At 35.4% G+C, this 27,208-nt stretch overlaps 1 protein-coding gene across 2 annotated transcripts in view; it reads right to left on the minus strand.

The window, feature by feature from the left end:
* The window catches only part of PPP1R3A (protein phosphatase 1 regulatory subunit 3A), a 42,233-nt gene continuing 34,834 nt past the window's right edge, over positions 19,810-27,208 (minus strand). For both annotated transcript variants that reach the window (XM_005250473.4, NM_002711.4), the window contains 3 exons: positions 25,295-25,353; positions 25,072-25,196; positions 19,810-23,158 (listed from right to left, as the gene is read on the minus strand). In XM_005250473.4, the coding sequence (XP_005250530.1) occupies positions 20,756-23,158; positions 25,072-25,196; positions 25,295-25,353 (2,587 nt within the window). In that variant the 3' untranslated portion in view covers positions 19,810-20,755. The remainder of the gene's footprint in view (positions 23,159-25,071; positions 25,197-25,294; positions 25,354-27,208) is intronic.

The following is a 27,208-nucleotide window of genomic DNA, read 5'->3' on the forward strand; positions in this document are numbered from 1 at the left end:
CTGACTGAGTGACACCTCCCAGCAGGAGTTGATAGACACCTCATACAGGAGAGCTCCCACTGCATCTGGCGGGTACCCCTCTAGGATGAAGCTTCCAGAGGAAGGAACAGGCAGCAATCTTTGCTGTTCTGCAGTCTCCGCTGGTGATACCCAGGCAAACAGGGTCTCTAGTGGACCTCCAGCAAACTCCAGAAGAACTGCAGCAGAGAGGCCTGTTAGAAGGAAAACTAACAAACGGAAAGGAATAGTATCAACATCAACAAAAAGGATGTCCACACCAAAACCCCATCCAAAGCTCATCAACATCAAAGACCAAAGGTAGATAAATCCATGTAAATAAGGAAAAACCTGCACAAAAAGGTTGAAAATTCCAAAAACCAGAATTCCTCTTCTCTTCCAAAGGATCACAACTCCTCACCAGCAAGGGAACAAAACTGGATGGAGAATGAGTTTGACGAATTGACAGAAGTAGGCTTCAGAAGGTGGGTATAAGCAAACTCCTCTGAGCTAAAGAAGCATGTTCTAACTGAATGCAAGGAAGCTAAGAACCTTGATAAAAGGTTATAGGAACTGCTAACTAGAATAAAGTTTAGAGAAGAACATAAATGACCTGATGGAGCTGAAAAACACAGCATGAGAACTTCGTCAGGCATACACAAGTATCAATAGCCAAATTGATCAAGGGGAAGAAAGGATATCAGAGATTGAAGATCAAGTTAATAAAATAAATCACGAAGACAAGATTAGAGAAAAAAGAATGAAAAGGAACAAACAAAGCCTCCAAGAAATATGGGACTATGTGAAAAGACCAAACCTACATTTGATTGGTGTACCTGAAAGGGATGGGGAAAATGGAACCAAGTTGGAAAACACACTTCAGGTTATTATCCATGAGAACTTCCCCAACCTAGAAAAACAGGCCAACATTCAAATTCAGGAAATGCAGAGAACACTATAAAGATACTCCTCGAGAATAGGAACCCCAAGACACATAATCATCAGATTCAACAAGGTTGAAATGAAAGAAAAAATGTTAAGGGCAGCCAGAGAGAAAGGTCAGGGTACCAACAAAGGGAATCCCATCAGACTAACAGCAGATCTCTCTGCAGAAACCCTACAAGCCAGAAGATAGTGGGGGCCAATATTCAACATTCTTAAAGAAAAGAATTTTCAACCCGGAATTTCATATCCAGCCAAAGTAAGCTTCATAAGCAAAGGAGAAAGAAAATCCTTTACAGACAAGCAAATGCTGAGAGATTTTGTCACCACGAGGCCTGCCTTACAAGAGCTCCTGAAGAAAGCACTAAACATGGAAAGGAGAAACAAGTAGCAGCCACTGCAGTAAGATACCAAATTGTAAAGACCATCGACACAATGAAGAAACTGCATTAACTAACTGGAAAAATAACCAGCTAGCATCATAATGACAGGAAAAAATTCACAAATAACAATATTAACCTTAAATGTAAATAGGCTATACACCTCAATTAAAAGACACAGACTGGCAAATTGGATAAAGAATAAAGACCCATCAGTGTGCTGTATTCAGGAGACCCATCTCACATCCAAAGATACACATAGGCTCAAAATAAAGGGAGGGAGGAATATTTACCAAGCAAATGGAAAGCATAAAAAAGCAGGGGTTGCAATCCTGGTCTCTGATAAAACAGACTTTACACCAACAAACATCAAAAAAAGACAAAGAAGGGCATTACATAGTGGTAAAGGGATCAATGCAACAAGAAGATCTAACTATCCTAAATATATATGCACCTAGGACAGGAGCACCCAGGTTCATAAAGCAAGTTCTTAGAGACCTGCAAAGAGACTTAGACTCCCACCCAATAATAGTGGGAGACTGTAACACCCCACTGTCAATATTAGATCAATGAGACAGAAAATTAACAAGGATGTTCAGGACTTGAACTCAAGTCTGGACCGAGCAGACCTAATAGACATCTACAGAACTCTCCACCACAAATCAACAGGATGTACATTCTTCTCAGCACCACAACGCACTTATTCTGAAATTGATGACATAATTGGAAGTAAAACACTCGTCAGCAAATGCAAAAGAGCAGAAATCATAACAAACCATCTCTCAGACCACAGTGCAATCAAATTAGGACTCAGGATTAAGAAACTCACTCATAACCGCATAACTACATGGAAACTGAACAACCTGCTTCTGAATGACCACTGGGTAAATAACGAAATTAAGGCAGAAACACATAAGTTCTTTGAAACCGATGAGAACAAAGATACAACATACCAAAATATCTGGGACGCAGCTAAAGCAGTGTTTAGAGGGAAATTTATAGCACTAAATGCCCACAAGAGAAAGCAGGAAAGATCTAAAATCAACACCCTAACATCACAATTTAAAACACTAGAGAAGCAAGAGCAAACAAATTCAAAAGCTAGCAGAAGACAAGAAATAACTAAGATCAGAGCAGAACTGAAGGAGATAAAGACATGAAAAACCCTTCAAAAAATCAGTGAATCCAGGAGGTGGTTTTTTGAAAAGATCAACAAAATAGATAGAGCGCTAGCCAGACTAATAAAGAGGAAAAGAGAGAAGAATCAAATAGACACAATATAAAATAATAAAGGGGATATCACCACTGATACCACAGAAATACAAACTACAATCAGAGAATACTATAATACCTCTATGCAAATAAACTAGAAATTCTAGAAGAAATGGTTAAGTTCCTGGACACATACACCCTCTGAAGACTAAATCAGGAAGAAGTCAAATCCCTGAATAGACCAATGACATTTTCTGAAATTGAGGCAGTAATTAATAGCCTACCAACCAAAAAAAGCCCAGGACTAGACAGATTCATGGCTGAATCCTACCAGAGGTACAAAGAGGAGCTCATACCATTGCTTCTGAAACTATTCCAAACAATAGAAAAAGAGGGACTCCCCCTAAGAGGGACTCCTCCCTAACTCATTTTATGAGGCCAGCATCATCTTGATACCAAAACCTGGCAGGGACACACAAAAAAAGAAAATTGCAGGCCAATATCCCTGAAGGAACATCGATGCAATAATCCTCAATAAAATACTGGCAAATCAAATCCAGCAGCACATCGAAAAGCTTATCCACCACAATCAAGTCGGATTCATCTCTGGGATGCAAGGCTAGTTCAACATACACAAATCAATAAACGTAATCCATCACATAAACAGAACCAATGACAAAAAAACACATGATTATCTCAATAGATGCAGAAAAGGCATTCAATAAAATTCAATACCCCATCCATCCATACTAAAAACTCTCAGTAAACTAGGCATTCATGGGAAGTATCTCAAAATAATAAAAGTTATTTATGACAAGCCCACAGCCAATATCATACTGAATGGGCAAAAGCTGGAAGCATTACCTTTGAAAAGTGGCACAAGACAAGGATGCCCTCTCTCACCACTCCTATTCAACATAGTATTGGTAGTTCTGGCCAGGGCAATCTGGCAGGAGAAAGAAATAAAGGGTATTCAAATAGGAAGAGAGGAAATCAAATTGCCTCTGTTTGCAGATGACATGATTGTACATTTAGAAAACCCCATTGTCTCAGCCCAAAATCTCCTTAAGCTGATAAGCAACTTCAGCAAAGTCTCAGGATACAAAATCAGTGTGCAAAAATCACAAGCATTCCTACACACCAAATAACAGACAGAGAGCCAAATCATGAGTGAACTCCCATTCACAATTGCTACAAAGAGGATAAAATACTTAGGCATACAACTTACAAGGGATGTGAAGGACCTCTTCAAGGGGAACTACACACCACTGCTCAACGAAATAAGAGAGGACAAAAACAAATGCAAAAACATTCCATGCTAAAGGATAGGAAGAATCAGTATTGTGAAAATGGCCATACTGCTCAAAGTAATTTATAGATTCAGTGCTATCCCCATTAAGCTACCATTGACTTTCTTCACAGAATTAGAAAAAACTACTTCAAATTTCACACGGAACCAAAAAAGAGCTCGCATAGCCAAGACAATCTTAAGCAAAAAGAACAAAGCTGGAGGCATTACGCTACCTGACTTCAAACTATACTACAAGGCTAAAGTAACCAAAACAGCAAGGTACTGATACCAAAACAGATATATAGACCAATGGAACAAAACAGAGGCCTCAGAAGTAACACCACATATCTATAACCATCTCATCTTTGAAAAACCTGACAAAAACAAGAAATGGGGAAAGGATTCCCTATTTAATGAATGGTGCTGGGAAAACTGGCTAAACATATGCAGAAAACTGAAACTGGATCCCTTCCTTACACCTTATAGAAAATTTAACTCAAAATGGATTAAATACTTAAATGTAAGACCTAAAACCATAAAAACCCTAGAAGAAAACCTAGGCAATACCATTCAGGACATAGGCATGGGCAAAGACTTCGAGACTAAAACACCAAAAGCAATGGCAACAAAAGCCAAAATTGACAAATGTGATCTAATTAAATTAAAGAGCTTCTGCATCTGCATAGCAAAAGAAACTATCATCAGAGTGAACAGACAACCTACAGAATGGGAGAAAATGTTTGCAATCTATCCATCTGACAAAGGGCTAATATCCAGAATCTACAAAGAACTTAAAGAAATTTACAGAAAGAAAACAACCCCATCAAAAAGTGGGCCAAGGATATGAACAGACACTTCTCAAAAGAAGACATTTATGTGGCCACAAATATATGAAAAAAAGCTCATTATCACTGGTCATTAGAGAAATGCAAATCAAAACCACAATGAGATACCATCTCACGCCAGTTATAGTGGTGATCATTAAAAAGTCAGGAAACAACAGATGCTGGAGAGGATGTGGAGAAATAGGAACGCTTTTACACTGTTGGTGGGAGTGTAAATAAGTTCAACCACTGTGGAAGACAGTGTGGTGATTCCTCAAGGATCTAGAACAAGAAATACCATTTGACCCAGCAATCTCATTACTGGGTATATACCCAAAGGATTATAAATAATTCTACTATAAAGACACACGCATACATAGGTATATTGTGGCACTATTCACAATAGCAAAGACTTGGAACCAACCCAAATGCCCATCAGTGATAGACTGGATAAAGAAAACGTGGCAAATATACACCATGGAATACTATGCAGCCATAAAAAAGGATGAGTTCATGTCCTTTGCTGGGACATGGGTGAAGCTGGAAACCATCATTCTCAGCAAACTATCACAAGGACAGAAAACCAAACACCACATGTTCTCACTCATAAGTGGGAGTTGAACAATGAGAACACGTGGACACAGGGAGGGGAAAATCACACACCAGGGCCTGTCAGGGAGTGTGGGGGCTAGGGGAGGGATACCATTAGGAGAAATACCTAATGTAGATGATGAGTTGATGGGTGCAGCAAACCACCATGGCATGTGTATACCTATGTGACAAACTGGCATGTTCTCCACATGTATACCAGAACTTAAAGTATTATTTAAAAAATTTAAAAAAGGAATAAGGAAATAGAAGTTAAAAATGTAAAGATACATTTTACGTGTGTGTGTATGCTTTTGAGATATAATTCTCTCAAAACCAATCCAATGCAACTAAAATATCAGGTATATTTTGTAGCATTATGTGGATTTTATTTTAAAGAGAAAAGATTAAAAATAAGTGAGCTATACATTCATCTCAAGAAGGCAAGGAAAATAAAACAGAAATAAATGGATTAGAAACCAAACTAGTTCAATTGCAAGATTTTGGCAGGTTGCATAAAAGAACATATAAAAGTCAATAGCATTCTTACCCTATTGGCATAATTATCAAAATAAAGAACTAATAGCTACTAGATCTAATAAAAGAGTTCAACAAAATAGTTAAGTGACACATAAATCAATAACCCTCTGTCAAAAATTTCTCAAATGAAGATATAATAGGAAAAAATATTTATTTATAATAGCAACAAAATCCATAAGGTACCTTAGAACAAATCTAATAGAAAATGTTTACTGTATTCATTGATAAAGTTGTAAATCATGATTGAATAAAAGACATGAATAAATTAAGAAATATACTATTCTCATGAATGAAAAGACAATGTTTAAAAATATTATCTCTCCTCAAATTTATGTTTCTATTCAGTAAAATTTCAACTTGAGTTTTCAATCACATTTTTCACAAAACTTGATAAGCTGTTCCTATAATTCATATGGAAGAGTAAATAGCCATAAGTTAGAGAATTTTAAAGAGCAAGTTAGAGCAACATCCCCTATCTGATATCAAGATCCAATATCTAAACTTGGAGTTTCTCTGTCGTAGAAGTTTAGAACTCAGACCCAGAAAATTCTAACAAGTAAGGTTTTGGATGTATATAACTAGGATGCAAAGCCACTGTTGGGAAATTCTGTTTTAAGGACCATATATCTTGAAGAGTAAGCGGAGGCAGAAAATCCACTGACAAAAATAGAGAAATGAAAGGGACAAAGAAAACAGAAAAAAAAAGATGAGAGAACATGAAAGTCCAAAAGAGACTACATTTCTGGTGACTTTTTATTTCCTTGTTGCTGTTCCTAGTGATCCCTATTTTCACCTCTCACCCAGAAGTTGCCTTATTTATGATACATTTAATTTTTTCTTAAAGCTACCTTGAAGGGTTTTATTTTCAACCAATGAACAAGTTTGATTGTTATCAAAGTATACTTGGCCTTAGAAATTAAAATGATGTCCTACTTTATAAAATACCATAGGCTCTATGCCTTTGTCTTCCTGAAAGGAAGAAGCGAGGCAAAATTATTATAAGTAGTTTATTTGGGCCAAGCTTGCAGGTTGCAACCTAGGAGTGTAGATTGATTTAACATGCCCTGAATATACACTCTAATTAGCAACATGAGTAGGTTTTTCAAAGGAAAGGAACAGACAGTTCCTAAGTTATTTATAAATAATTTACATTAAAATAGCATAAGTTATACACTGTTCTTTGTATCGAAAATTCCAGGAACATGAAGATAATGGATGAGGCAGCTAGTCAAGAACAAAATTCCTTTATACCAGTGGTCCACAACTTTTTGGCACCAAGGACTGGTTTCATGGAAGACAATTTTACCACAGACTTGGGTGGTGGGGGGGCTACGGAGGTAGTTGATTTGGGGATGAAACTGTTCCACCTCAGATCATCAGGCAGTAGTTACATTCTCATAAGAAGCAGTCAACCTAGATCCCTCACATATGCAGTTCACAGTAGGGTTTGGGCTCCTATGAGAATCTAATGCCACCACTGATCTGACAGGAGATGGATCTTAGGTCTTTATGGGAGTGATGGGGAGAAGCTGTAAATCCAGATGAAGCTTCACTTGCTCACCCACCTCTTACCACCTGCTGTGCAGCCCAGTTCCTAACAGACTACAGACCAGACTACAGTACTGGTCCACGGCCCAGGGCTTGGGGACCCCTGCTTTAAACAATTGCCCCCAGGCATGAGGGGGCAGGGCATGACTGAAATCCCATCCTCATGTCTCTCTGGGCTTGCATAACTCACAGAGCTCAGGCTGCTCTAAGGTATTTTTCTTTTCTGACCCCCAGTGATAGAACAGCTTTATAGATGCAGCAAATTGACCCATTAATTTTTTTTAATTGAGCAAAGAGACAATATAAAAAGAGCAGTTTTCAAAAACCATTCCTCTGTGTCTTATGTGGGTAAGGTTATGCTGCTAGTAGAAGCATAGCTAAAAGCTTTTAAAGCAACTATGCCAGTCTTTTGCTAGCATATCCGTATGAACTTCTTCTGTGGTCTCACATAATGATAGTACTTCTTTGGATATGTTTCCAATACACACACTCCTTAAGCAGAGTGAAGGAAAAGAGATCCACTGCTATTCAGTCTCAGCATAGCATCACCTGCATGAAGTAAGGCCAAAAGTTAAAGTTACTGCAAAGGCCAAAACTAAATATAGTGACATTGGTTCTGCCTTAAAATATCTTTGTCGGCCGGGCGCGGTGGCTCACGCCTGTAATCCCAGCACTTTGGGAGGCCGAGGTGGGCGGATCACGAGGTCAGGAGATCGAGACCATTTTGGCTAACATGGTGAAACCCCGTCTCTACTAAAAATAATTTAAAAAAATTAGCCGGGCGTGGTGGCGGGCACCTGTAGTCCCAGCTACTGGGGAGGCTGAGGCAGGAGAATGGTGTGAACCCGGGAGGCGGAGCTTGCAGTAAGCCGAGATCGTGCCACTGCATTCCAGCGATGGAGCGAGACTCCGTCTCCAAAAACAAACAAAAAAAATCTTTGTCTCGTATTGGATATCTTGGGTCATTTGTTCACATTTTCATTTATTTTTGCTGTTTTAATAGTGTTGTTTTACCCTATGATTGTTAAATCTTGGTAATAGGATATAGTTACTTCCCCCCAAATTTTTGTTCCTTTTACTGATGAGAAGCAGAATGCATATTCATAATACACCTTCTAGCACCATAAACCATTATAATTTTGAGTATCACATAGTGGGCTCCACAACTTTTGCAAAAGTTTCTTCCATCTTGTGCCATGCTGGCTATCTCAAATGATGGAATTATCATGTCCTGAACCATCTGAGTAGGCCTACAGTATCTGGTTTCACAGTGGTGTAATTACCTTATGTCAGTAATGTAAATGATTTCTTTCTTGGATTTTGGCCAGCACATTCTTTTTAACATGTTTCTACCATTTTTTTTTCCTTTTTTTTTTTTTGACATTGTCCTCAGCATTACTATGTAAAAATATTGTTCTACTTTACCTAAGCTGATCAGGAGCTGCTATACATGAATTACAATCTATGATCCCAAGGACAAGAATTCTGTCTTTAGGTAATAGAAGGCTATTGCATTGAAAGCTGCCCCTTTTATTCATGTGACACAGAGTACTTCACACCTATTGGGTAGGTTATTTTCATAGATTTCGTAGGCTGACCTTACAATTCATCATCCAAACCATTTTACTTATGAAAGTTAAAAGGGGTGCTATTATTAATTACACTAGAACATTAGGCATAAGTAAGCACTACTACAATTACATCAACATGTATCCTCATCCCAGTTATTATGCAAGTAAAAGTTAGATATAATAATGCATTTGGAGGGTATTTTGTGTGTGTGATTTCCTTGATCCCTAAAATTACAGTGTTAAAAAGATGGCACATCTCTGAAATGTGTAAAGCAAATTGCTTACAAAACCAAACAATCCTCACTTTGTGCCACTTCTGCTCTTAAATTTTATCTCTATTACTGAACTGGTGACAGATATTGCCATTATTGGTTTATGTCTCTACCTCCATTGCTGTGCTCAAGCCAGGTAAGATGTAGGACAAATATATTGCTTGCAGCCTAGAAGGAGCTCAATCAGTATTTTTTGAATTGAACCCATTTGAATAAAAATGAATTGAAAAGAATAGAATGTTTTAGGAACCTTCCATTTTCAGGAGCATTCATAAAGAATCAGCTGTGCAAAAGATACAGTGTGTTATGTGTAGTGTACTTGTATGTAAATATAGTACCACAGAGCACACTGACATAGAACTGTGTAATTTATAAGAATAGCTCAGTGTATCTGGATTGAAGGTACAACATAGTGAAATAGTTAAGAGGATCAACTCTGGAGAAAAACTGCTAAGGATCTGAATCTAGACTTTACTGCTGACTAGCTATGTAACCTTGGAAAAATTAATCTATGCATCTGTTTCCACCTATAAAATGAGAAAATTTTCTCAAGCAGTTGTGAAAAATAAAATGTGTTATTTTCCATAAGGAGTTTTAAATACTACCCAATTTACTATAAACACTCAATAATTGGCCATAAATTTATTATTTTTATTGTTGATATTATTAAAGATGGAAACCTCACATGCACAGATCAGTAGGATATATATGTAGAAGTTATATTCAAAGATTGAGTACAACTTGATACTGTTTATTCATATAATAAAAAATCAACTGTTGTATTTAAATTAAATAGTAATTTAAGGATGCGAATAGGACTAAATAGGCCAAAAGAATTCACATGCGAAGAGCCAATCTGACTTGAATTATAATCTATAGGCTTACCCAACATGCTAAAGGCTATACCCGCTTCTTCAATTTTCTGGAAGAGTTTCAGAGGAATTGGTATTCATTTTTCGCTGAATGTTTAATAGGATTCAGCAGAGAAGCTATCAGGTCCTGGGCTTTTCTTTGAGAGGAGATTTTTAATTACAGATTTAATCTTATTACTCATAATTAGTCTGTTCAAGTTTTCTATTTATTTTTGGCTCAGTCTTAGTAGATTGTATGTGTCCAGGAATTTATTTATTTTTCCTAGGTTTTCCAATTTGTTGGTTTACAGTTGTTCATAATAGTCTCTAATGATCCTTTTTAGTTCTGTGGTATCAGTGGTAATCTACCCTTTTAATTTTTATTTTATTTATTTGGTTATTTTTTTTTCTTTTTTTTCTTTGTTAGTCTAGTTAGTGGTTTGCCAGTTCTCAAAATTTTATAGAAAATTGGGCCAGGTACAGAGGCTCATGCCTATAATCCTAGCCCTTTAACAGGCCGAGTCAGGAGGATTACTTGAGCCTCATAGTTTGAAACCAACCTGGGTAATTGAGCAAGACCTTGTCTCTAATAAAAATAAAAATAGTTCTTCTTGAAGAGGTCCTTCACGTCCCTTGTAAGTTGGATTCCTAGGTATTTTATTCTCTTTGAAGCAATTGTGAATGGAAGTCACTCATGATTTGGCTCTCTGTTTGTCTGTTATTGGTGTATAAGAATGCTTGTGATTTTTGCACATTGACTTTGTATCCTGACACTTTGCTGAAGTTGCCTATCAGCTAGGCAATACCATTCAGGACATAGGCATGGGCAAGGACTTCATGTCTAAAACACCAAAAGCAATGGCAACAAAAGTCAAAATTGACAAATGGGATCTAACTAAACTAAAGAGTTTCTGCACAGCAAAAGAAACTACCATCAGAGTGAACAGGCAACCTACAGAATGGGAGAAAATTTTTGCAATCTACTCATCTGACAAAGGACTAATAATCAGAATCTACAATGAACTCAAACAAATTTACAAGAAAAAAACAAACAACCCCATCAAAAAGTGGGCGAAGGATATGAACAGACACTTCTCAAAAGAAGACATTTATGCAGCCAAAAGACACATGAAAAAATGCTCATCATCACTGGCCATCAGAGAAATGCAAATCAAAACCCCAATGAGATACCATCTCACACCAGTTAGAATGACGATCATTAAAAAGTCAGGAAACAACAGGTGCTGGAGAGGATGTGGAGAAATAGGAACACTTTTACACTGTTGGTGGGACTGTAAACTAGTTCAACCATTGTGGAAGTCAGTGTGGTGATTCCTCAGGGATCTAGAACTAGAAATACCATTTAACCCAGCCATCCCATTACTGGGTATATACCCAAAGGATTACAAATCATGCTGCTATAAAGATACATGCACACATATGTTTATTGTGGCACTATTCACAATAGCAAAGGCTTGGAACCAACCCAAATGTCCAACAATGATAGATTGGATCAAGAAAATTTGGCACATATACACCATGGAATACTATGCAGCCATAAAAAATGATGAGTTCATGTCCTTTGTAGGGACATGGATGAAGCTGGAAACCATTATTCTCAGCAAACTATCACAAGGACAAAAAACCAAACACCACATGTTCTCACTCATAGGTGGGAATTGAACAATGAGAACACATGGACCCAGAAAGGGGAACATCACACACTAGGGCCTGTTGTGGGGTCGGGGGAGGGGGGAAGGATAGCATTAGGAGATATACCTAATGTTAAATGACGAGTTAATGGGTGCAGCACACCAACATGGCACATGTATACATATGTAACAAACCTGCACATTGTGCACATGTACCCTAAAACTTAAAGTATAATAAAAAATAAAATAAATAAAAAATAAATTAGTCAGGCATTCCTGGCATGTACCTGTAGTCCTAGCTACCCAGGAGGCTGAGGCAGAAGAATAGTTTGAGCCCAGGAGTTTGAGATGGCAGTGAGCTATGAACACGTCATTGCACTCCAGCCTCAGCAATGGAGTGAGACAGACACAGAAAGAAAAGAAAAGAAGAAAGAAAAAAGAAAAGAAAAGAAGAAAGAAAAGAAGATAGAAAAGAAGAGAGGAGAGAGAGAGAAAGGGAGAAGGGGAGAAGAAAGGGAGAGAGGGAGAGAAAGAGAGAGAGAGGAAGGAAGGAAGGAAGGAAGGAAGGAAGGAAGGAAGGAAGGCAGGCAGGCAGGCAGGCAAATTTAAGGAAGTAATTCTTCCAAATTCATTATTTGTTTGATTCTATGAGGCTAGCATTACCCTGTACCAAAACCAGCTAAGGATACACACACAAAAATAGAAACCTACAGGCCAATATGCCTGATGAATATAGATTTTAAAAAATCCTCAACAAAATTCTAGCAAACTGAATCCAGTAACACATTAAAAAAATCATTCACCATGATCAGGTAGGATTTATCCTAAGGTTGTAAGGATGGTTCAACATACACAAATCAATAAATATGATACACTATATTAATATAATAAACAACAAAATAATATAATCATCCCAATATATGCAGAAAAAGCATCTGATAAAATTTAATGTCCCTGCATAAATAAGACTCTCAACAAACTAGGTATAGAAGGAACCTACCTCAACACAATAAAGGCCATATATGACAAACCCGCAGCTAACATACCTAACAGGAAAAAGTTAAAAGCTTTTCCTCTAAGAACTGGAATAAGACAGTAATGTCTACTTTCACCACTCTCATTCAACATAGTACTAAAAGTCTTGGCTAGAACAATCAGGCAAGGGAAAATAATAAACGGCATCCAAACTGGAAAGGGGGAAGTCAATTTGTTCCTGTTTGAAGATGATATGATCTTATATACATATTTTTAAACCCTAAAAACTCTCCCAAAAAACCCTTAAAACTGATAAACATATTCAGTAAAAATACAGGCAATAAAATCTACATACAAAAATGAATAGCATTTCTCTACACCAACAACTAGCAAAAAAAGAAATTAAGAAAACAATTATATTCATAATATCCACGAAATATACCTATGAATTGATTTAACCAAAGAGGCGAAAGATCCCTATAAGAAAAACTATAAAACACTGAAGAAAAAAAATTGAAAAAAAAAACACAAATGGAAAGACATCCTGTGTTCATGGATTCAAATAATTAATATTGTGAAAATAACCATACTGCCAAAAGCAATCTATAGATTCAGTTCAATCTCTATCACAATTCTAATGAAATTCTTTACAAAAATAGAAAAAGGCAACCCTAAAATTCCTACGAAACCACAAAAGACCCCCAAATAGCCAAAGCAATTCTCAGGAAATAGAACAAAACTAGAGGCATCACACCACCTGACTTTAAAGTATACTACAAAGTTAAACCAAAACAGCCTGGTAGTGGCATAAAAACTGACACATAGACCAGTGGAACAAAACAGAGAAACTAGAAACAGCCACTGATTTTTGACAAAGGCAACAAAAACATTCTTTGGGAAAGACATTCTCTTTAATAAATAGTGGTGGGAAAACTGAATTTCCATATGCAGAAGAATAAAACTAGACCTCTCTCATCATATTAAAAAAATCAACTCAAAATGAATTAAAGACATAAATGGTGTAAGACCGCAAATTTTGAAACTACTAGAGGACAACATAGGGGAAATATTTCAGGACATTGGTCTAGGCAAAGATTTTATGGAGAAGGCCTTAATAGCCCAGACAACAAAAGCGAAAGTAGACAAATGGGATTATATCAAACTAGAAAGCTTCTGTACAGCAAAGTAAACAATGAACAGAGTAAACAGACAATCAGTAGAAAAATATTTGCAAATATTAATCCAACAAGGAATTAATAGCCAGAATATACAAGAAACTGAAACAACTCAGCCAGTAAACAAGTACCTTGATTAAACACTGCATATTCTCACTCATAGGTGGGAATTGAACAATGAGATCACATGGACACAGGAAGGGGAATATCACACTCTGGGGACTGTGGTGGGGTGGGGGGAGGGGGGAGGGATAGCATTGGGAGATATACCTAATGCTAGATGACAAGTTAGTGGGTGCAGCACACCAGCATGGCACATGTATACATATGTAACTAACCTGCACAATGTGCACATGTACCCTAAAACTTAAAGTATAATAAAAAAAAGAAGAAAAAAAAGATGAGAAAAAAAAGTTAGCAAATGAGCTGAATAAACATTTCTCAAAATAAGAATATAAATGGCCAATCGGTATATTTAACAAAAAGTGCTCACCATCACTAATCATCAGGGAAATGCAAATCAAAACCACAATAAAATATCACCTCATTCCAATCAGCATGGCTATCAACAAAAAGATAAAATACAACAAATGTTGGCAAGAACGTGGAGAAAGGAGGAACCTGATACACTGTGGTAGGAATGTAAATTAGTAAAGCCATTTTGGAAAGCTATATGGAGTTTCATCAAAAACTGCAAGTAGAACTACCATATGATCCAGCAATCCCACTACTGGCTATTTATGAAAAATAAAGGAAATCAGTATGTCAAAAAGACCTCTGAACTGAACCATGAACTGAAGCATGTTTATTGCAGTACTATTCACAATAGCCCTTGATATGAATCAACTTAAGTTTTCATCAATAGATGAATGGATAAAGAAAATGTGGTATATATACACAATGGAATACTGCTCAGCCATGAAAAAAATGAAATCCTGTTATCTGTAGCAATATGGATGAGCTTGGAGAACATGATGTTAAGGGAAATAACCCAGGCACAGAAAGACAAATACCATATAGTCTCACTCATATGTGGAAGTTTAAAAAGTTGAGCTTATAGAAGTAGAGGGTACTGGAATAGTGGTTACTAGGAGTTTGAATGGATGGGATAGATAGAAATTGTCAGAGATTTTGGCTAATGGACACAAAATCACATCTAGATAGGAGGAATACATTCTATCATTCTATAGTACTTAGGGTGAGTAGAACAGAATTTACAACAATTTATTGTTTATTTTCAAATAGAAGAGTGGATTTGGAATATTCTCAACACAAATAAATGATAAATGTTTGAGGTGATGAATATGTTAATTGCCCTGATTTTGTCATTACACATTGTAAAAATATATCAAAATATCACTGTACTCATTTGTACAATTGTCAATTAAAAATAATAAAAGCAAAAGATTATGAAAATATGAAAAACATTATCTTTACTTTCTATTTTCTTTTCCAAATTTCAAAGAGTAGAAATGTATTTAAAATATTTTCACATGTTTATGAAGATAGGAAATAATCTTTTCTTTATTCCCTTCTTTAGGTAGGACTCCACCATTTCACTTAAAAACAAAGAAATTGTAGTATTTGCATCAAGAAAAAAGGACAATTGGATTTTCCAAATATGTATTAATTGGGAAGTCAATTTAATATGTAGAAAAATATCTTTTTAGTGTGTATGTTTAAAATGATTTAAATGTATTTTTCTATAAACACTTTATGCTAAAAATGTTTACAAATTCTAACATAAAAGCTTCCTACATAAAATTACTAAAAGTAGGTTATGGGTTAAGTGTTTACAAAGAGAATTTCTAAACTCATAATGATTTTTAAGCACCATCTCTCTGCTGTTTGATATTATGTTTTATAGAGTTTGTCTTTAAGGAAATTTTAAGTCTGTTTCCACTCAGAACCAAGTCAATCATATACAGGATTATTGAATTCTACCGTATGATAGACACGTATCTGGCTTTTCTTTGAGCCTTCAGATACTAGTTGCCAATAGTCTTAAGCTGTTGCGTGACATGCTACTACATTTCTAGGCTACATTTCTTTCCTTTGGACTCTGCCTCAAAATTAGACATGTCTTTGTATTAACATTTTAATTTCATATCTGAGTTTGATATGATGAATCTCGTCAAGAATGAACCTCCACACATTACATGCATCACTACACGAAGTATTAGTAGACCGTATTCTCTGCCATTTGTCACTGATTGAATGTTAAAATCATGTGTATGCTGCTGGGTGGGTACTCATATATTAATCAAGCAAATGCTTTCTTTTTCAAAAAAATCCACTGATTATTTTTTCTAGTTGTTCTGTTTGTTTATCCTAAAAGTTGACATGCATAACAGGTGCAAAACTGAAAGATCAGCCATTTTCAAAGGGCACGGCAGCAGTTAAGAAGATTGAGTTTCTTACACTTTATGTCTTGTGATGTTTGTTGGTTTTTAAGCTACTGAGCTACTTTATTTGAAAACATGTCTTGTTCTATTTTCACCTTAGCCAGTGAATTTAAGTTTGCATTATTGTTCTTTTAACATATAATTGGTATTTTATTCCCATGAAATAAAGGGAATGATTCATGTGCTAGAAAAAAATTATAAATACAATAAATCAACTTAATTCTTAAGAGAAATGGAGAGAAAAGGGGATGTTTCTTTCCTCCCTACCTCCCAAATCCATTATACGATTCTGTCCTTTTTTTCTCAATGTCTCTGCCTTTTTCAACCTTGTGTTTGGTAGTTTACTAAAGCACTCTAGTTTTGATTCAGTTAAATTTATTCCTTTTTAAATCAGACCTCAGAGTATCCTGTCTTCATTTTAAGGATAATAAAGACCTCATTGCAATTCAATTCTATCCACAAGTATTGACTGAATATTCCTACAAACTAGACCTTGCAGTGTGATAGGAAACCTTGTCCATCTTGAACAAGCAGACAGTCCAGTTAGAATGAGTCAAATCCCTAGTGCATGCAAGAAGAAGGTTAGTCAGAGATATGAAAGTGGAGAGATCCTACTGACTGAAACAGGATACTTCCAAAAGACAGGGTCTTGAATTTCCATAGCAAAGTGTGCAGAACTGGACAGGAAGAGAGAAGTAGAGATAACCGAACGTGTCCTTTAGGCAGGGAGGCATACATGAACAGTCATGGAGGTACAGATTCCTATGACATGTTCTGGGGATGATGTCACTGACTAAGGGCTTGAGACAGGGAGCAGTGAGAAATAAGGTTGAATGGTTTCACTCAGTAGGGGTATGAGTAGGAAGATGCATCAATTGTAACCAAGGCCAGTTTAATTAGGCATTGAAATCTGCTGCAAATCATATGTTGGAGGCATCACAGCTAAATAAAGGTAATTTATCTATAATCTATTGTTTTACCCATGCCTCTCTTCATTACCATTAATACAAAGAATTGAGTATGTTAGGAAAAAGGGACTTCATCAAATTTTCACATTTGTTTCATATTTGAAAAATGAAAGTAATATGAATGCATTTAAAAAATGTAGAAGTGACACAAAATAAAAATGTTATGCTTTTTAAACAGTTGTTTGTTTAATAAGGTTTTAACACACTAAAATAAAGACATTTCTTATAAAACATGATCATTCAAACCTAGTGAAAATTTAATTCACTGTTTTAAATAGGTTTTGGCAAAGTGATGGAAACATATTGGATTAATGGCAAAATATATTTTTAAAAGATGGAAAGTGAATTATGTTGCCATGATTTTTATTACAAATTATTTCCAAAAACAGAAAAAATAAGCAAATGAATTTAACCAAATAAATACCAGTAATTTTTTTTACTGTTCTCTTCATATAGGAGTACAGAGATAGAGGTGCTTGAAGAGCTTGGCTTCTCATTTATTTCAGATCTTGTTGCAGATTCAAAGTCAATCTTATTTCTCAGTTCTACAGGAACTGGCTAAGACAGATTCAAATAACTAAATAAGATCCTATTGCATAATCCAATTTCGATATTCTCAGTAAAAATTTGAAAGGAAAGTCAGAGATCACAAAAACAGAAATCAGTAGAGGAATCTGCTTGTATTTTTACTAGTTCTTCTGCTAGTTTATTGTTTTGCTTTGCTTGCTTTTTTGTTCATTTATATACAAAGCTTGCCATGGATATTTTTAAGTTTCCATTTAACCAGCAGACTGGTTTGAGATAACAAATTAAAGATAGACCTGCTTAATAAATTGATAGATGATATAGACATAGATATATTAGTTGAAATAATTAACTATCAAAATACTGGAGCTCAGCAGGAAACCAAGGCTGCATTAACCCAATGTTCTTTTATGTTGAAGGGTGAATGTCATCTCATGAGCTTATTTTCTCTTACCTTGAGAAATCTATTGTGATATTGATGGCCTATACTGATGTGATTTTTTTTTTAAAGATAATTGTTTTTGCTACCCACACTTACTTGACTTGCAAATTTTTAGAATTTTGTTTCTAAAAGTCAGAAGCCCAGCAAAATAAAGACTAAGTTATGTTTCTTACCCAACATATGAAGCGGATGTGTGATGCACCTCTAACTCTCCTGACATGCCTTCATTTGGGCCTTAACCAGTACTTGGAGAGACAGAGTGCAGGCAGCTATGCTTGTAAAGATTACCCTTGCCATGATGACTCACAGCCAGATCTCCCTTAACCAGGGGCTGCTAGTCCTCCCTGAGATCCACTTTTCTTGCTCGGCATAGTGATGTGACCAAAACAGGTTGAAATAACCCATCTATTCACATATCAATAGTTTCATAGGTTCCTATTTTATTTCAAGGTCATGAGTAATGTTTGGAGATGCAGTTGAATCATGAATTATTTCTTCACTGAATTCAGAGAAATACAATTATTTCAAATCTTTTAAAATTTGTTTTGTCATATTAAAAATGCATAGGAGAAGATTTGGTAAGTTAATATTACCAAAAAGTAAATAAAAGACATAAAAAGTTATGTTGTCTTTTAAGAGAATAATTCTAGCTCAGACACCTGTGTTCATAAAGTAATGTAGTGTTCTCTGCAATAATGAGATATGGCATGTTGACTAAAACCCTTAAAGGTAGAATTCAAAAACTGAGACATTAAGAACTAAGGAAATCCTAACCTTAACTTCATTGTAATTTAGACCTGTCAACAAAATTATCAGGATAGCAATTTTAGAGATTATTTCTAGGTACTGCTTACAGTACTTCTCTTGTACTGAATGAAATTGTGCCCTCTCAATCAAATATTTGCCCTAAGCTCTACTTTAGGATGTTTGTATTTGGTCAACTAAAAAGTTGAAGTCAAGCATTCATTTTCAATGGGACTTGAGAGTAGTATGCAATTAGAGGATTTGGAAATAGTTACGTACCTAATAAAAATTAAGGAAATCATCTACTACCAGATGAAAGTCAGTATAAGTGTTTCATTCTTGTTTTGTCTTCCCATAAATGCATATGTCTTAGTTATATGGGATGACATATGCAAGTTGTACTCATTGACTTTGCCCTTACAGGTAAATAAACAGATTGCTTTTTCTATCTGAAGATCAGTGTTACATGTTTTATGAAGGAATTTCCTATGAAAAAAGAACCAACCAAAGAGGCCTCCTCTGGGTGTCTTTCTTCCATAATTTCAGTGAAGTCAGAAGTGTCACACTACGTACCTATGCCTAGAACTAGCTATGCAGCATATCAAAGGAAGTTCTATGCCACAGAACAGAGCACAGAGTTTTGCATATAGTAATCATTCAATAAATAGTTGAAATAAACTATGTGAATCTTTGCATTGCCTCTACTTGACTAAAATGATGAGTTTCATTATCATACACACTTAGCTATAGGTAATAACAGCAGTCAAAGTCACTGCTATACTGGATATTCATTTCTTCTTCAGATTTCCACATTACCTATTTGCCTACTGAAAATTTTGAGTTATCATCTAACAACCTGATAATCATATAATAAATATCACCAAAGACTGTTTTCTAAATGCATTTTGGGGGATAATTCATTCTCTTAGAAAATATTTGAAGACAAAAATACAATGTGGAACAAATAGTCCATTTGGAATTTTTATTGTCATTTAATGCCTTATGCTTTATAGGTACAAATTCATTCTGAAGCAATGCTTGTGGAAATTTTAATTTACATTTTCAATTCTGAATAGTTGACACTGAAATAGTTCAGCTGTGTTACAGTCTTCCCTCACAAGAGAAAAGCATTGCTTAAAGACAGGCCACCCACAGAATTTTTCAGAATTGAAAGATAATCTCCCAATTGTTTCAGTCTTGTCAGATTTTGCCTATGAACGCCCTGACTTTGTAGCTATAAAGAAGGTATGTGTGTGTGTGTGTGCATGCATCAAGTATTACACTCAAGTGAACAGAATATGTTTAAGTTTGCATTTCAATATATATGGGTGTTTTCTTAAAAATATGAAAGGTTGAAATATTTGATCAATGAATCCTGATAAATGATAAATTGAACAAATTTCATGTTCAATACTAAAAGACCAAAAAAGTCCTCTGCCATTGTCCATGTTTTATCTGTTTTTTAAAACCGTAGGGGAAAATATATACTCTCAAGGGGAAAAAAAAATGAAGCTTTATTGCAAGAGAAATGAATGCAAGAAATAGCACTTTAAGTAGTGAAGAGATGTGAAGCATTGCAACTTCATAGCCTGCTAAGGAGCAACAGCTGTACCTAATTTCAACTTGACGTGCTTCAGATCTCATATTCATATAGGTATTTAATGATCCAAACATAATGGTCCTATATAGAATAATTACTTATATGAAGGAGCAAACTTATTCGCGTCCCTTTTTAAATGATCCTTCAAGAGAAAAACTGCACTGGATCTTTGAACAATGAATAGTCCCATTCACCAATCCAAATGTTTGGGGTTAAATAGCTTATCTTTTAAGAGAGAATAGTAGTGCTGAGGTTACTTCTTTTTGACAGACTCTTTTTGTCTACCCTCTTCCCAGGATAGCCAGGACAATGACAAAACGTAGAATGTCAAGCCAATCATTAAGTCATAATGGTAGACAGTTATAAGAAATATCAGAAACAAAAGGAAATAAGGTATTTTAGAGTTGGTATATTTTGAAAACAAAGATTCGTTGCCTTGAGCTTGACTTTCCTCAACAGGAAGACTAGTAGAAGCAGAGCTGTCAGATTCCTTTTCACCTGAAGTGTATAGTGATTGCCCAGAGCTTACTAATCCTTCATTTTCATGCCTTGCTTCTTCCATATTCTCAAGAGGTTTGTTGATTAAAATCATTGGCCCTAGAGATTTTTCCACACTATACTCTTCTGTTTGGAAAATCTGGCCTATGCATCTTTCTTTTCTACTACCTGATGTCACTATTCCTGAACTTCTGGAAACTTCTTCAGGTTTAGACTCAGGATAAGGGTGCTTCTCAATACCCTGGATTTCTCTTGTTGAATTACAAATATTTTCTGATTTCGTAGAAATAGGTTGGCTAGCCATGGTAGTAACTGCATTCTCTACAGCAATTGCCTGCTCATTAGTTGACACTGAAATTTCAGTATGATGTTTGGAAAAAGGAGAGCTATTCTGAGGAGCTCTATTAGTGTCTGAGTTAAAAGCAGAATGCACAATGGCATCCGAGTCTGTTTTCTTTGATAATTCTTGAACCTGCCTAAGATCTCTGTTTTCTGAAAATACAGTTTTGTCTGTTGGTAACATTCCCAACTGTAAATCCAGTTTTGAAGTTGCTTTTTGATATTCTGTAATGACCCATGAGGATTCTTCCACAGATGTTATATTTCCAGTGCCACATTTCTCCCTGTCATGTGTCTTCCTAGGATTGTACATAGACATGGTTTCTTCCTTCTCCATTTCATCTACACGTACATTACAAATACCTAAACGTGATTCCTTTTCAAAATCATTGTCATAGATTACACCTACTGTATCTCGTTGACAAAGGGTATAATGTGAATCATCATTTCTCCCTTCATGTGGATCAAACGCTGTTTCCTTTACCTCGATGGGCCTGTCACTTCGTGCTGTCTCTTGAGGTAGCTTAGCAATTATTGCTTTTTCTCTAGCAGACATGCTTTCTGGAGTACTTTCTGATGTTGTCTTAATTATATAGGCTGTACCAGCTTCTGCTTTCTCAGTAATGCCATGATCAGCTAGAGAAGACAGTTCACAGCACACTGTTTCTTGGCAGGTAAACAATTCTTCTGTAGTAGCTTTCAAACTCCTCGTATTATCTCTTTTTCCCCACACGTCTTCACAATCTGTTTGTCCTTTGATATGCTCTGTTATGTTTGTCTTATTCTCTCTTGATTTTCCCTGACTTTCCAGAACATTCCAACTTTGTTTATGCTGTGGGCTATTATCCTGATCTTCAGAATTAATCCCACCTGATTTTTCTTCAACTTGGAAAAGATAATCATTCCTCAAAACATTTCCAGTTCTTGATGAACAAACTTGACCAGTTATCCCTCCTAAAGCGCTGCCTTCACTAGTCAAATGATGATGCTCTGGGGTTAACACAGCTTCTTCCCAACTTAAATTTGTCCTTGGTGAATGAGACACATCTGCTGTGATTGCCCGGGTGGGGATTGCGGTATGTTCGCTCAGCAGAGTAGCCAGGTCTCTGTTACTAGCTCCAATCCCTGCCACACTTATTTTAGGGTTACCCATCTTCCTTTCTTGGTCATGTAAGATTGTTTGGAAATTTTTTCTTTGTTTTTCATTAACACCTAAATATATTCTTTGTTCTTCATCATCCTTACCATTGCCATAATAATCTTCCTTAGAAGATCCTTCTTCTGTTGATTCTTTGAGACATGCCGACGTATCTGAATGGAAATCTCTTCGTAAACATCCCAAATCTTTTACTTCAATATTTTTAGCTCCTCCTTCATGTTTTTTATTAAGGTTTCCTGCCATTAGTTGATCTGAAGAGGGGCAAGGTATTTGCACTGTGCCATTGCCATGGGCTGGATTAGCATTATCATCCAGGACTTCTTTGCTGCCAGTATGTAATTGCACTAGTTCATCACTACTAGTATCTCCCAATGATGGCTTGATTTCTCCCATATTTGAAGTAGTTTCCTCTGAAGGTTGATGTGTACAGTCATCTCCTGAGGAATATTTTTCATTGCAGTAAAAATCTCCCTTTACGGAGCTTTCTGCTGATGAACTTGGAGACAGAGACCTTTGGAACAAGTCAGTACATATTTCACCATGGATTTGCTTCTTCTCTAACCCCTCTGCTTTATTTGGAAAATTGACTGGATCTGTTGAAAATGTATTCCTTTCATCTCTGGAAGCAGTACTTCTGGTTCTTATTAAGTGTTGATTTATCTTATGGGATAAAAACAACAAAGAAATAATGACCATAAGATCTTTTAAAATATATAGTGAATTAGATAGGTTTTATTAACTCGGCTAGTAATTATCTGGTAGATTTCTTTGACTGATTTCATTTGTGGATTTCATATAAACTCTGGAAGCCAGATGTTTTGGGGAAATCCTTGCAGGCTATGACTGGGGAACGAGATTAGTAAGAAAGGGGGCCCAAATTTATCACTCTCCTTCCCAGCTTCCAACTATCACATTGTATTATTCAACTGTTCTTGCTTGTCATTGCACTTTCTCCTCACTTAGACTATACACATTGATAGCTCCATGCTAATCAATTAGACAGCAGCTTCCTGGGTGCCCCTTGCTGCATTTACACTTGCTGTAGGTGCCCCCATTACAGTTTCTCTTATTAATATGTTTTCTGCAAAGCCTCTGCAAACTATTAATAGCAAAACGTCACTCAAAGAAAAGTGAGGGAGTTAATGTCTCTGCAAATTCTGTTTTAATGACCCTCTGCCAACTGGTACTCAAATGTATTTGAGCTCTTCAGTGATGCCAACTGTCAGGATTTAACAGTGAGATGCCTGTGTTTTTTTTTTTTTCTCCTCATAACTGACATTTGCATGATCTCAATAATTATATGCAAATCTTACGTTTTCCCCTTCTTCTCACATAAGGCTCATGTTACTTGTCAACTGCACAGCTGTCTTGTAAGCCAATGCCTGTGGGTTCCACAGATTTGGTTGTATTTCCATCTATTATAGAGCTTCATTGTTTTATGCATTAACGTCAGCATGGAGCAAATTAGCATCTAAATTACAGCTCCCTGTTCATTTATTGGATGTACAATCTCAGTAACTTCTAAACAAACTTTTATATTTGAGCCTGCTCATCGTAATGAGATGTATTGGTGAAGTATGTGATTTTTCAGGGCCCTTTCATTATATTCTGTGGTTTGAAAAAAATGGCCATGTTAACTTTCAGCTGGTGAGAATTCTCACAATGGGTGACAACTTTGTAGTTTCTTAAAGTTGGAGCAAAGTAAATTGCATACTTTAGTGATGCAGCTCCGCGATCACTATAGAAAAGGTGGAATATGTGGGGAAATAGATGAGCTCTATTTCTTTCCTGTTTCAGCACTGACACTTGAAGAGACAAATGTCATTTTAATCTTAGATGATTATGAATCCATGTATTCCAATGATATGAGCTCCATCCAAATACAGTAAAGGATAAATTGCATTATGTGACTCATTTACTCCTATTTCTTCCTTTGTGATAAAAGTGCTGTATAAACCATCCCCCCAAAAAATTCCAAATAGATTGAATGCTCACCAAGTATGAAATTTATAACAAATTTAATACTAAGTTGTATAGTACTGAATTTGTTTCCTGTTTTAAAATTATGGCACAGGCTATTTTCTTTTTACTTGGTAATTTAATACTCTACAATGATATAGAACTTGGAGATTCTCACAAGGATGGAATTTTTTAAAAAATGCTGTTACATGTGAGAATCATAGACTTCTAGAGTAGGACAGGACACTAACAATCCTCTAGTCCAGCCCTCTCATTTTATAGACGAGTTTATGCTAAGTATACACTTGTCACAAAGATTAGAAATGCACATCAGGATAGTGCTACCTCTCCTGTAATTCCTGCAAACTATTACTCAGAGCCACTGGTAAAGAGATAAGAAATGAATGTCATTAATTTACCACTGCAGAGACCAGAAGCAACATACAGAAATCAAAGTGCCTTGTTGATCAAGCTAGAGACGCAAGGACAGAATAGGCTGTGCTTTCACATTTGCAAATTATATTAGTTGAAGCTATTGAAAGGCAGGCATTGCAGCATCTTTGAAGCAGAAATGGATTCATCTTCTCTAATACCGTGGCAACCAGAACACTTACCATCAACTCTAATTCTTTTTCATTATGTTCATCATGTTCCCTGTTTACATCTTTTACATTTCGATTACTGGCTTCCAAATCTTCCTTGTCCTCATGAGAACAAATGATTGTTGGGATATAGGTATCTGAAAAGTTAATATAATTGTGCCTATGTAAGATTGTTTTAATTGTAGACTTTCACAAAAGAGACAAATTTGGTTTTAAAATTAATGAAGAATATTACCTGTATTCTTTGGATTCTCAAAGTTATTTTCTTCTGATGTTACTGATGATTCTTCTTTACTGTTAAATTTAAAAGAAAATGTTATATGTTTTTCTGGGACTGCATCTTCTAAGTATTTTTACACAGGGGGAAATTCAATCAGTAACAAGCCAAATAAACATTATATAGCCTTTCTTATTTTCCTATATTACTTGGGATGTTTTGAAATAAAAATGATCTTTTTGGAATGATGCAATAGTAAGTATTGGTTGTAGAAAAATTTAAAAGTAATTCAAACAATGCCATATTTCTAAACAGAAACACACTCTATTTCTTAATATTTAAGAAAATATATTAAAACTTATATAACCAAAGTAAAAACATATGTAAATGTAGATTATTCTATCTTCAATGAATTTCATCTTTTCAAGTGAGAATGTTTTTCTCATGGCTTAATGATAAAATTTTATGAACTGACAGTCTATTTATGGTCATGGAAATTGCTAACATTTCAATTAATTTTTTGTGTTCCATTTTACTCAAAATTCTTCCAGTTGGACTAACATTAACTCTCTCTCCAGAAAAGCAAAAAAACACAAAAAGTAAAAGTAAGAAAGAAACAAGCTAACTAAAAAACTGAAAGGCAGCTAAATTTATACTCAGTTAAAAGACTTTATATATGTATTGCCACAGGCCAATTTTAAAAGCAAGACTTTGGATCATTTATATGCAAGCATATACTTTCCTTCTTTAAAATGATTTGGGTTACATTTCCTTTTCTAGCATACCCTGCATACTGATTGTAAAAGACAAATACCTTTTTCCTTCAAATGTAATCTATTTGTAGTTGTATTTGTGAAGTCATTAGAATTTAGATTTGTCCATGAAACTCAGGAGGAAAAATGTTGGTAAAAAAAGCTCACTTTGTGTATAGTTATGTCACAAGTCAATTATAAGAAATATTTGGCGCAGTATACACATTTTCTTATACTCTCTCAACTGAATTTCCTTATGGTGCCTATTCTCAAGGACTTTTCTGCAACAAAAGAAATCTGGAAAGTTGGCAATGGCTGATAAATTTGTGTAACAAGAGTCTAGACTTCATTGCATGAGCAATTCTGATCCAAATCCCAGGAAGGCCAATTTTATATTCACAAATCATGAGAAATTGAAAATTCTTCCATCCTGACCATGCAAGAAGATAATTCAGTTTTATATATTTTTATGATTCATAATTTTAACTTTACTAAAAACATTTGGTATTTTTAGTGGGCCCACATATAGAAAATAATGCTTCTATATAAATATAATTTTATTAGAAAAATATACTGCTTGCATAATTGATACTGAATTTATGAATCCATATTGCTTAATGAGGTCAAAAATTATGCCAAGGTTTATTTTTACGAAATCCAACTGCAGGCTGACACACCTTCCCTTCTCCATGTACATGTTTATGTGCTTAAAAATATATAAACCATTAAACAGCATTTATTTATTCCTGCTTCGTCTCTATTCCCATACAATACTGAAAGTATTATTTGTAGAAGAAAAATAGTCAAAGATTTTTGTTCTTATCTAATCAAAATGCTACCAATCACTTCTCTAATTCAATTCTCTAATATAATTTAATTCTTAAAAAATGATCGAGTCAAAAGGACAGGAGCCTGCTTTAACTTATTTGGGGATAAAATAAGTATTCAACTATGTATTCTTATGTTAGTGTCTTAAAATGTAAATATAGAAATATAGGAGAAAAACTTCAAATTCAGGGACAAGTACAAATAAAAGTAGAAATAAATGAAATTTAAATATATGAAATATCTATAAACAAAAACAGAAAATACGTAAGATTTCTATGGGCAAAGTAATAAAATTATATCAAAGAATGTCAACAATCCTAAAAAGGTTGATAAACATACCATGTTCATAGAT

This window comes from Homo sapiens, chromosome 7 (assembly GCF_000001405.40).
Source record: "Homo sapiens chromosome 7, GRCh38.p14 Primary Assembly".
Classification (NCBI taxonomy): Eukaryota; Metazoa; Chordata; class Mammalia; order Primates; family Hominidae; genus Homo; species Homo sapiens.